The sequence below is a fragment of the Homo sapiens genome, chromosome 14 (genome assembly GCF_000001405.40).
Source record: "Homo sapiens chromosome 14, GRCh38.p14 Primary Assembly".
Lineage (NCBI taxonomy): Eukaryota > Metazoa > Chordata > Mammalia > Primates > Hominidae > Homo > Homo sapiens.
In genome coordinates, this window is record NC_000014.9 from 88222824 (window position 1) to 88235520 (window position 12697).

At 41.6% G+C, this 12697-nt stretch overlaps 1 protein-coding gene across 3 annotated transcripts in view; it reads right to left on the reverse strand.

Moving 5' to 3' along the window:
- Nucleotides 1-12697, reverse strand: part of KCNK10 (potassium two pore domain channel subfamily K member 10) — a 146805-nt gene that overhangs the window by 42716 nt on the left and 91392 nt on the right. For all 3 annotated transcript variants that reach the window (NM_021161.5, NM_138317.3, NM_138318.3), the window contains exon 4: nucleotides 4552-4712. In NM_021161.5, coding sequence (NP_066984.1) covers nucleotides 4552-4712 — 161 coding nt within the window. The remainder of the gene's footprint in view (nucleotides 1-4551; nucleotides 4713-12697) is intronic.

The window sequence follows — 12697 nt, forward strand, 5'->3', positions numbered from 1 at the left end:
AGGATGAAGAGCTACCATGCCAAGGAAAACAGAGCAGAAAGAGGTAACAAATCTGGATACACCTGACATTGTGGAGCTGATAGCACAAGCCTGAGTCAACGTACCTCCAGGCTTCTTGCTATGTGAGATAAGGGTTCAAATTCTTAACCCATTGTTAATGAGTGTTGGGAGTATGAAAATTGTCAGAATCAAAATGGGGTTACTTGTGCTTAAAACTCTGACAAACAGAGTCAGGGAAAGCCAGGAAGGAAGGATTCTCATGCACAAATGCCTGATTACAAGAGCTATCATAAAAGACTGCAAAAACTACAACCTTGCACAAAACCCATCACCTCGTTATGCAGAAAAGCATTTCTGCGAAGACATCTACCCAGCAACTGACTGTCCAACCTTGGACTGGCATCACCCTTGTTATTGATCCTTGTATTCAAGGATAATTAGCTCAAAACAATTATGTAATCCTGTTCATTTTTCCTTTAAAAACCTTTTTTTTTTTTTTTTGCTTTACCTCCCTGAATGCACACATAGTTTAAACTGGCATGTATGTTACCACTGCAATGCCCATCCCTGAGTAAATATCATTTTCTTTCAATGAGCCTCTGTCTGTATGTTATTTAGGGTGACATAAATGGTGTCAGAAGTGGGATCAAAGTGAGTGCACCTCAGAGGAATGAGAGGTCCCTGGAACTGAGTGCAGTACTGACTGAGCCCTTTCTGCTCTCTGCTTCTGTCTGTTGCCTCTTCTGTCTGGGTGACTCTCCTCTCAGATTCTCAGACTCCCTCCCTTTGGCGAGTTCTTTTTGACTTTATATGTGATTTGATTTGGCTAAAAGGTGCCTTAAGTAAAGAACTTTGCATCCCTCTTGGGTCTGTAAAAGGCGTTTTTGTTTGTTTGTTTGTTGGCAAGCACTTTCTGGTAGAAAAGTATCCTTCTGCATTGAGTACTCTGGTTTCTACAGAATTTACATTCTGTCTTAGTGGCATGTCTTTTCTGGTGAATTCACTTTTGGTTCTTTCTTTACATCTAGTTTAATATGTTATTTGGTCTGTACACCCGGCTTAAAAAAATGTGTGTGGCTGGGCGTGGTGGCTCACGCCTGTAATCCCAGCACTCTGGGAGGCCAAGGAGGGCAGATCACCTGAGGCCAGGAGTTCCAGACTAGCCTTGCCAACACAGTGAAATCCCATCTCCACTTAAAAAAAAAAAAAAAGAAAATTGTGAGCATTCTTATTTTAGTTTCATTTGGGTTTGGTTATGCACATCTGCAAATAATTTGGCACCTTTACTTTTACCTTTCCTTTGTTTCTGAACATCATCTGAGAGCAAAATTAAACATTTTAAGTGGTGGTGCAAGAAGGCCATTTAAAAGTGTTGTTTTAAGCTTCTATGATTGTAGTCATATGTTACACAGCAATAGAAAAACTAATGCAGCAGCAAGGTCCTAATTCAGGGTAAAGTGACTGTAAGCCCTTTCGGAAACAAAGCTAAAGCTATATTCTCTGATCAGCTTATAAGCAATAAAGCTGGCAATTTGATCTCCATCTGACTCCTCCATTTCACAGTTAGTTCTGAACTCCAGAGGAGAAGAATTCTTATTTATTCATGTCATAAAAACTCCAATAGTCAGGCATTTTATTATTCTGCAACCAAAAGCATTTCTAAGTAATCCAATATCCCTCAGCAATTCTTTAAAATGAGGATCAGACCTGGGATGTGTTGGAAGGACCCAAAACAGGGTCACCTCAGGATTCAGGCATCTTGAAGACCAACTTTATATTTACTTTATTTATTGATTGATTGATTAATACAGGGGCTCACCCTGTCACCCAGGTTGGAGTGCAGTGGCACGATCTCAACTCACTGCAACCTCCACCTCCTGGGTTCAAGCAATTCTAATGCCTCCGCCTCCCAAGTAGCTGGGATTACAGGCATGCACCACCGTGCCCTGCAAATTTTTGTATTTTTAGTACTGACAGGGTTTCACCATCTTGGCCAGGATGGTCTTGAACTTCTGACCTCAGGTGATCCACCCACCTCAGCCTCCCAAACTGCTAGGATTACAGGTGTGAGCCACCATGCCCGGCAGAAAGCCAACTTTAGATTTTATTTTTACTCCACCGTAAATCCTCTCTTCCCAAGAGCTGAGAGAAAACATAACAGATCAAGAGAAGGGCTTAACACTCATTGAGCAGAAGAAATACATAAACCTTCCCCCATGAGAACTAAAAATTCACAACCCCAAGCTTTGTTAGCTTATACAATTTTCATTTCTCAAATAACCACCTAAACGTAATTGGACTTTTAAATGTAGTTTAAATCAATGGCAGAAAACTGAGATTTTCTACCAAAACTTTACATGCAGCAAGCAAACTGCTGCAGGATCAGTTGTTCGTATATTTAGGAAGTGTGCTTACATTCCCCCTGGAATTCGGTCACCCTTTCCAATAGCACCCTCCAATACTCAGCAAATGCATTCATTGTGCACTGCCAATTCAATAATATGCAACTGTCTCGCCTTCCTAAAAGAATCTTGATCTTTGATGGTGCTGCAAGGAGCTGAGTGGACAATCAGCATAAAGATGAAATGTGAGGTTTCTAAGGCTCTGTATCAGAATCTGTTGATGGTCCATTTGAGACGCAGCTTCAAGGGGAAGGAGAACCATATACTCTATTTGTAGTCGGAAATTCATTAGGGGAGACTAAGTCCCTAAATTTAGTAGCAGATGTCCAGATGATTGCAACCTCTTCCATCACTTCAAATATAGTAACTAGAATTTTTTCTGCTAAGGAGGATTTCAAAAACTTTTAGTCCAATCCTTTCTTCTACAAATAAGGAAACTGAGCTCTAAAGAAGCTACATAAAAATAAAAATGCCAGATCAGTCATTTCCCCAATTGAATCCTGTTCTGAGTGTTCAAACTACCAGATTCTTTTTTCTCTAAGTCAGAGGGCCATGAGGCAGCAGCTAAAAGGGTGCTTCCAAGAAGTTCAAAAGAGTTCTTGGAGACAGGGCTGCTATGTCTGGTTTAGGAAGAACTAAACATCTGAAAAGCAGGGAAGCTGAGCACTGATGGTTTCCATGGAGACTACTGGGGAGCCCAGGTGCACGGTCTAATGAGGCCACCGGCCAGCCAGCATGAAGGAGCAAAGGCTGTGGGACATTCCAGTAAAACTCACACACCACAGAGCTCCTCAGATGAAACCCGGATGAGTGGCTAGCCTGCCCATGAGGGCTTCTCTTGGAGAGAAACACAGAAGCCCTGGGCTCTATATGTCTGCCCTATATGACAAGCTCTTTTCCACACATCATTTCATTTAATCATCACCAAAACCTGACAAAGTAGATTCAAATTCTATCCCCTTTTGTGGATGAGTAAACTGAGGCAGCTGACCCAGGATCAGTGAGATTATAAAATGGCTCACCCAGCTATGGTGCCTCGTTCCTCCCATTCTACTCTTTTTAAAAAGCCTCTGAAACTGCTCATCTGAAAGCTCCCTTGCATTCTTCTAAAGAGAAGTATGAGCCATTATTGCAGAGACAGCCTTGAACTCAAAGTTTAAGAGTTCTTAGAGGGGGAAAAAAGCACAGCTTTAGAGCTTCCAGCTGATCTGCCTTTGGCCACCATTCCTAGATCCTGGAAAAGACCTCAGAATGTCATTTGTAAATATTAAGTCATCATAAGAAAGCATTCCCTGAGGAAGGTTTGAAAGACTTGAGAATTAGGTCAGCGGTGAGTAAGAGGGCAGAAGTGACCTTACATCTGAGCAAAACAGGTGTTCTGTGAAAGCATACAAATGAGTGCGAGTTAAAGGGCATTGGGAACCCCGGTTTAATCACTCAGCCACTCATGCCTGCAACTAATGCCAGGAATAATTTATTAATTAATTTTAATTTTAGTAAATAAATTCCTTGAGTTGAGATAGTTGTCTCTTGTTTAAAGATAAATATTCCAGAAAGGAAAAAACCCACTAAGGCAATAGCAATCATCAACAGTTCAGTAGGAAGTAGTACATCAGGATGCCATTTCTGAGGGAGCACTCAGCAGTGAGAGATGGGAGAGAGAGAGACCATTAGGAGACAGGTGCAAAGCACAGAGCAGTGTCTGGAGAAGTCAGGCTTCTGGAAGAAGCAGGATTAGCCTAAAGACACTGTGCTTGAAAATAAAACGGAGTAAGGGAGTTCCAACAACAAAATGGATGGATTTACAGTTTTCTACATCATTACAAACACAATGAGGAACCCCATCTTCCATCTTGAAGGAGAAACTGAACTTGTCTCACCTCTTCAAAAAATCTGTGTTGGCAAATCCATACTTAACCCTCTTGTGTTGTGATTGCAGAAATATCACTCTAAAATAGGAAGCTACTCAAAGAAGGGAGTTTAGGTGCAAGATGTTTGACTTCCATTGGCCAAAACAGAAAATACAATCATAACATTAAAATTATTCCATTAAAAGCAGACAATGCCCCTGATACTGCCTCCTGGATCCTGTCAGGCTAAAGCCAACTGGATCACAGTGGTTAGAATTTAAATATGACACAGTACTCACTCGAAAGACCTTCTCCACTCTTGCAATGCTTTTCCCAAAGATGGTTCCAAGTTGGTCTCCAATTCCAGCCAATAAGAAACCAAAGAGTGGAATTCCAAAGATGGCATATAAAATACAAAAGATTTTGCCTCCTTCAGTGCTCGGAGCAATATTCCCATACCCTGGTGAGAAATATGAAAAAGAGGGAGAGTGGCAGAGAAATTAGCATACTGACCAAAGAACTCACAGACTTTTTTAAAAGTTTGTACATTCCCCCACCTTATGAGCTTCAGGGAGTAGAACTTCATTTCAAAGGCCCTCTACAATTCGCAACATTGTTCCATTGCTTCTCTTCCTTCTCCCCTTATAAACGGTTTTAAGGTTTCTTGGATATTAACACATTTTAGGAAATTCATGGTCACTCAGAACTTTCATTTTCATTTCTGACAAAAAGTGATACCACCTTTTTCTGAAACACCAAGCATCATGGGCATGTCTAGTTTAGCGAGACCTGAATGCGTGGGAAGGAATCACCACTGCACTTATTAGATTTGACAAGAGCTTCTTTTTCACAGTCTTACCCATGGGCTCCACCTGGACCGACTGTGGCTGTCTTGAAGGGTAATGGGTACCCCATATTAAAGAGGAAATGTGGTCTAGTACAAGGTTAGAAAGGACTCATGAATTGTACAGCCTTACCCTGGGAAGTCTAAAAACAGGAAAGAATAGGGAAGGGAAGGCTTTGTGCTGTCTCTCCCCACCGCCAGTGAAGTTTCGCCCCATCTGGTTTTTTTCTCTTTACTGGGAACTCCACATCATCTCTGAGTCCTACCTCTCCGCCCAACTACCTCTTGCATTGAGGGTAATAAGATGCTAAAAGTTTATTGATGGATGTTTGAATACAAGAGAATCTTTTTATAGTCAGGTCTACTAATATGTATTTCAAATAGTGCTTTGAAAATACCCGCAGCAATCTTAAGAGTACTGCCATTACATAAGTAACTTATGTACAATGAGTACTGGGCTTACCCTATATGGATGAGGCTAAAGAAAGTATTGCTGGAAGAAAAAGTCCTATAGCATTAGCACACTTTATATGGAGATGAAAGTCTAAATTAATTAATATTCATTTTTGTGCCAATTGATATTACAATCTTATGTTAAAAAGTATCTAGACAGTAATCTAACCATTCTCCCAAATCTGGGTAAATCATGTGGGGCCTGTTTCTGAATCCATTCAATGAGTGAGTTATTGGGTCCATGGTTATTGACAGGTTGGGAATGCAACATGATAAAAAAACGTTGATGGTTAGTCCATCATTCAGCCACCCACAGGCCTGCAGAACTCACGGTTGCCTTCTGCCTTCGGGAATGAGTCACCTGGATACTTTCTTTTGCAATCTTCTGTTCTGAATCATTCAAACCTCTTATAATAATCTAAATTACAGCTTCCATTTCTAAAATGAGTGTTCAGGCTAGGCTTCCTCATCTTGTATTTCCTTTACTCACCAGGATTTTGATTTAAATATGCAAAAAAGCTCTCAGAACTTTTTTCAGGTACTTTCAGGAACTTGGACAAAATCATTTTTCCAAGAATACCCCTCTAGAATGGTCAAGCTGACATTAAGCTAGCCCTATTGAAAAAGAAATAAATGAGCCTCTACAGTTTCACTTTATGCAGGTTTATGGTGACTCTTGGAAACATTCAAGTAACTTGTGAAAACACTGAAGACCCCAGCTTGACTGTCTCACAATAGCCTAACTTTGGGGAATATAGGTTGTCCAAGTGTCTCAGAAAGAAATATATTGCAGACATAGGCAAACAAGTGGAGGCTTGGAACTGGATGAACAGGCATCTCATTAATCCTGACAAGTGCTACACCCCCTTCCTCCAGCTTTCAGAGATGACCACCCCCACCCACCTCCTGGGTAAGGCACTGTGGCTTACCACGGAGCATCAGGGAGAAGTGAGGAGATGAAAGATCTGGATCAAATTCCACCTCACACTACCTGGTTCTCCTTAGACCCACTTAACATCTGCAAATCCTAGTGTCAGAGGTACTCAAGGAAAATGCAGGGAGAAAAAAATCAATGGACTGTAAAGTACTGTACCAATGCAAAGTATTATTATTATTATTATTATCACAATTGGTTCCTTATTTGTTCAGTGTTTTGTTGACTAGAACACAAAAATAATATTAAAGCTAAGTTCTTGGGTAAGAGCATGAGTGATGCAATACTCAAACAAGCCTTTAAATATATTCACAGCCATCTTTCTTTGGTGACACACTGCCCAGTGGACAGAAAGTCATCATTCTTGAGTGATGCTGTATCTCATGCATGGGCGTGTGTGTGAGTGTATTTGTGCTCCATGCCTTTGGTGAACTATAAGGAGAGACTGTTTGACCCTCAACACTGTCACTCTGGGAAAATTCCAGCACTTACACTTTGGAGCTTTGCTCTGAGGCAATGGGAAGACCACATTTCTGGATTTGGGGATCTAGTTACACCCCGCCTCTCTGACTGCCCTGCTCATCCTTCTAGAATGCTTGGGTAGAACTTTGAAGTAAGGTGTGACAGTTGTCTGTAGGCTCTAGAACTAGAGACTACACAGATTTCTGTTCTGATTCTTCTATTTACCAACTCTCAGGTCATAGGCACATTCTTAATCTCTCTCCCTCACTTTCTTCATCAAAAGACAAGGCTATTAAAGTGCCTACCCATAGCTATTAAAGATTAAATGAGTTACATGCAAAGCAAGAGTTACATGTGAAGATTAAATACCTGTGAAATATGATGCAAACTAAGCACCCCGTTTGCCTTGTGCTTTACTGTGGGAAGGAATTGTTTCTGAGCAATATGTCTCCAGGAAAACTCAGTCCCAGGAGAAAACAGGCGGTTGATTCCTATCTTCCCTCCAGAAACTTCACTGTTCTCCCATAGCACCCACAGCATCAGGTGGTGACTTTCAGCAGAAGACAACCAACTCCACAAGGGCAAACAGCCAAGGGGAGGCTGTAATGAACGCACAGCACCAGGATGAGCTCAGATCTGTTCACCTCTGGCTAGAAAAGAGTTCCCCGTTTTTCAGGAAGAGAAAGCTGGCATTTAAAGAGGACTTGTGCCTGAGGAGTGCACACAAAGGCTTCCACTTGCTGTTTACGTGCCAAAGTCAAATCTTGGCCCAACTGTGTGTTGTGCAGCCCTACTTGTTTAGTTGAGAGTGTGCTTTCTTATTATGGTCACCAGTCTGTCTGCGCAGGCAGGGCTGCTTTATGGATGTGCACCCTGTGCAGTCCCACAGGGCCCACGCTTAGATGGGTCCTGTGCTTGGTTTAATGCTCTAAGGGACCCCACTTCAATTTGTACTGGGTGCCACAAATTATGTAGCTGGTCCTGGTGAATCTAGCTGGACTCCACTGCTTACTAACTATGAAATACCGGGCAAGTTATTTAACTTCTCTGGGCCTCAGTCTTCTCATAGATAAAATGAGGCTAATAACAGTACCCACCTCATGTGGTTATGCAGGATTAAATGAGATAATGTATGTGGAGCACAATGCACGTTAACTAGTAAGAACTCAGTAAATGTTAGCCATGGTGATTGCTCTTTTCAAAGGCACAGGTTAAACATCCCATCTAAATCAAGTGGGGCTCACACTCATAATCTCAGCACTTTGGGAGGCCAAGGTGGGAGGATCACTTGAGGCCAGGAATTTGAGACCAGCCTGAACAATATTGTGAGCCCTTGTCTCTACAAAAAAAAAATTTTTTTAATTAGCCCGGCATGGTGGTGCACAACTATAGTTCCAGCTACTTGGTTGGCTGAGGCGCGAGGACCATTTGAGCTAGGAGTTTGAGGTTACAGTAAGCTATGATCACACCACTGCACTCCAGCCCAGGCAACAAAGCAATACCCCTTCTCTGAAAAATAAAAATAAAAATAAAAAATAAACATCCAATCCAGTGCTGGGTAAGTACCAACAGGTGCCTCGATAGTTTGATAGGGACAACCCTTAAATGAGGCTGCCAGGCTAGTGACGCAGTGACTGGCTACCACCTGGTCCTGACCAGAGGCTCTCTCTCTGATGTGGGCAGAGTCAGGTGGCTCAATCTGAAAATGCCTCACAGACTAAAATCTAATCGCATTTCACAGATATTGGTAAGAACCTGATCGCTCGCTGTCCTTCTACAAATGACAGCTTGTGAAAAAGCATCTGCACATAGAAGTGAGCATCATTCATCCAGCTTAGAAAAGCTAGTTACGGGGGACCCACCAGCTGAGCCAATAATCAAAGGCAGGTGGGACTTTCTCACGTTGAATTAGTTACTGAGAAAGGGACTAGGGTGCAGTGCAGCCCTGTCATTGACAGAGCAGAGTCTGCTCTTCCTTCTGGCGTGGCTACTGGTCTGGAGAAGTGCCTGAAGGTATTCCGTTTGCTATACACTTGTAAATCTTTCCATATATCTCAGCACAAGAAAAACCTTCTTCAAAAAGAAGTGCTTTGATATCCTCAGATAAAAGGGATCTCTGATACTAAGGAGTAGCGCTGCTTTTCAGAAAAGATTCTATTATTCACAAAGTGTGTCTATACACATTCTACCTAATAAACACATTTTTTATGTCTGAAAAGTACATAACCTTAAGCTGCTCATGAGAGCCTTTCTGGAAAGAAATTTGGCAAGCCTTTCATTTCCTTTGACAGAGCAAACCCTTGGTAACCTTTCCAAGGCAACAACCAGAGATGAAGACCACACTTCACAACGTTAACACCATGGTGTTACATTATTACTAAAATAGAAACAGCTTAAGTTCCCAGGAATATGTGATTATAGTGTGAATAGTGGATCCAATAGAAACCATCAAAGAATACACTTTTCAAAGAACTTTAGTAATATGCAAAAATGTCTGCAATATTACGTTGCAAATTTTATGATCGCAAGGGAACAGGCCAATATTTGTGTATTTCACAATTAATGAAATACACAGCTCCTCAGCTCTCACGGTTCCTCTTTCCTGACTCCTAACTAGTGGAAAATTGCTCAGGAAGAACTGGAAGAATTGCTGGGCTCTGAGTTTTCTTATAAACCTTGCGACCACATGCAACAAATGAATTTACCACTAAGTAACTGGAAAAACAATTATTTCTGCACCTCATTATTCTTACTTACATTGTATTAAGGGCTTCTTTGGAATTCTCTAACTGTATGACTCTATAAAGATCCTCCACTCTGGAGTTAAAATTTAGCCAGCTAAATGGTGCTCAACTTACAATACATTATTTTTCAATTAAAAGAAAGAAAGAGTGAGAGAGAAAATTGTGTTTTCTAAATTAAATAGAACAAGGACCCTATCTCTAGTGTTAACACTGTACAATGATACTGAAGTGGACTTTGCATTTTACTTTTGGTTTTGATGCACATTTGTTTTGCAGTAGTTTCCTGTTCAGCATCCACCTTCCTTCTGATTTTTGGGAAAGCCCCCCTTCCTGTGCATAATTGGTATGACACAGTGTCCTGCCTCCCACCACAGAGGAAACAGCTCCTAGGCAGCCAGGATGTGTGCACATGAACAAATAGGATGGCTCTGCCTAAGACTTTAAATCAAGAGTCAGTGGCTCAAAGATGATGACAGATGGCAGCTGCAGCAGCCAGCAGGCTCAGTCACTAGCTGTGGAGGTCAGAGGATATTCACTGGCCCTGCATGAGCTCTGACCCAAAGCATGTATTGGGATGTTCTCACTTGCAGGTAATAGAAAGCTCAACGCACACTCGCTTAAACAACGAAAGAAAATATATTGACCCCAGTAAATAGAAGGGGGTTTAACATTTATTTCTTAACACTTCCTGGGTAGCACCATCCAGAGCTCAAATGATGTAAACAAGACCCCATTCACCACTCCTTTTCTTCACTCTGCTTCTTTAGTGTTTGATGAATTCTAGGCAGAACAACCCAAGGGGAAAAAAATGACTGGCAGTGCCTTAGGCCTGTCTCTTTCCAGACTTACCTTTAGTAAGAAAGAGAGGTCATTTCCTCCAAAGCTCCGGCAAAAGCCCCTAATCCAGATCATATGTCCATCTTTGAACTAATAATTGTGGCCAAGCACTGGATTTCTTAGTCTAGACAAGGTGATTGTTCACCTGAGGCCTGGGGACAAAGCATGGGGAAGGGAACCACTGGGGATATGACAATGAGGACATGGGTGAGTAAGTGAATGGAATCCAGGCAACAGAATCCAAGGGCTAAGAGCCATTTGCTCAAACTCAAAGATTCCGGTGTAAGCACACACACAAAAAAGGGCAAAAACCATCGCATATCAAACGTTCTTCATTAGGCAGATGGAGCCACCATTCCTCAGTCACATAATATTATGTGGATCAATAAACATAGTTGTTCAATAAACCAAGTTCCTGGATTCCTAACAAGCTAACACAATAAATACCATTAATGCACCTTCCAATGTAGCCATAGTGTTTTTCAATGCAGCAGACAGATCATTCATTTAGCCATGTCATGAAACAAGAAAATTAGGAGTTTCCTTCAATATACACACTAATGTCTCATGAATCCAATACCGGGTATCAGAGAGCATTTTCCAAAATGTACTTCTTGAAGTGGCCCAGACTTTCTCAATTTTAATTGGTGTACAATAGATCCTCCTACAATGCGTGACACTTTTTCCCAGGTTAACAATCTGCTGAACACAATGAAACCTGACATTGGTCTTCTTGGATCCACTACAGCAACGCCCTCTGGTGTTGTTCAGGTTGCTAACACTTTTTGCCCGTATACTAAATGGTGTCAGGCCACCCAGCTTCCTTTGTTGGACGCTGTGAGTCTGTGGATTAAGCTGACCTAACCTGGCCTAGAGTGCCAGAAAAGGCTTCTAAGCCCCAGACCCACTGGTGTCATGGGCATCTTGAATACTTTTAATAGCTAACACCAATATATTTGCAGATTTGCAAGTGTAAACCTAGCATGTCATATAATTAGATTAAGAGTGTTTCTAAATAACAATGGCAATTTTCCTTCATCCAAAATGTTCTTGTTGCATATGACTTTCTGGATTTCACCTAGAAACAACATAGGTCCTGAAGGCTAGATCTTAAAACAAAAGCAAAAACCTGTGCCGCTAAACCAATCGTTAGCCTCTGAAATTTGCGCCTATAGGAAGTTGATTGTCAAAACTGTGCCTCAGAGGAAAGAACCTCTCAAAAGGCATAGCTGGGCTTCAGAGAGCAATAAGGCAGGGAGTTCCTCCTAGAGAGTATAAACAAGTTTGAATGAAGGAATTTCCCCCACCAGGAGGGCGGGGGAGCCTCTCAATGCCTGTCCCTCATTGCTGTGGACCAGTGACTGCTGGGTGTCTCTCCTGCTTCTGAATGAAGATTTTTGTTGCAGTGCTACTTCACAATTGTATGTGGGCAGAAAATCCTCAAACTCATTTTCAGCAGAGCTGGAAGAAGGATATAATCCAGAGATTCCAGCATATGTGTAAGAACTACCAAAAGAAGCGGAGATTGGACAGAAGCCATATGAACAAAAAATAAAAAGAAGAAGCTCAGAAAATGATGACAGGGCCCTAAAGTGGTAAATTTCAGAAAGTATCCGAAAATATCCAAGTATAAAGGGGAGGGTCTCACTCTGAACTTCAAAAGAGATGTCCCTGTTTTTACCAAGCATGAAACATAGGATAAAGAGGGAGAGCAGCAGAAGCCACCCTGAACTTGATCTGGTTCAGAAAACAGGGAGGTAGGACAGAAATAATACAGAAGGACCCTATTTGCAGAAACACTCTGTCACAGAAATGAAGAGAGTTAGGATGTGCTGTCTGGAAGGTGGTACCCTGACTCACCCTGCTCTCCTCTCCCCAACTCCATGAAATCATTTGGCAGAAAGCTGGTCCAGGAATATCCAGTTTGCCTGGGGCCAGGTATTTTAAAAAGAAGTTGACCCAGCATAAATATAAAACTTCCATAAGAAAAAAAATGTGAAAAGAGTAGCAAAACTTACCAATGGATGGAAAGAGGCTCACCAGAAAAATGTTTCCAAAATCAGACAAAAATTGTGACCAAGTATGAAATAATCATCTCTAAGAATCTTCACAGAGAAGCCAAAAAGTAGAAATTCAAGAAATCAGTGGAAAAATGGAACAACAAGTGAAGA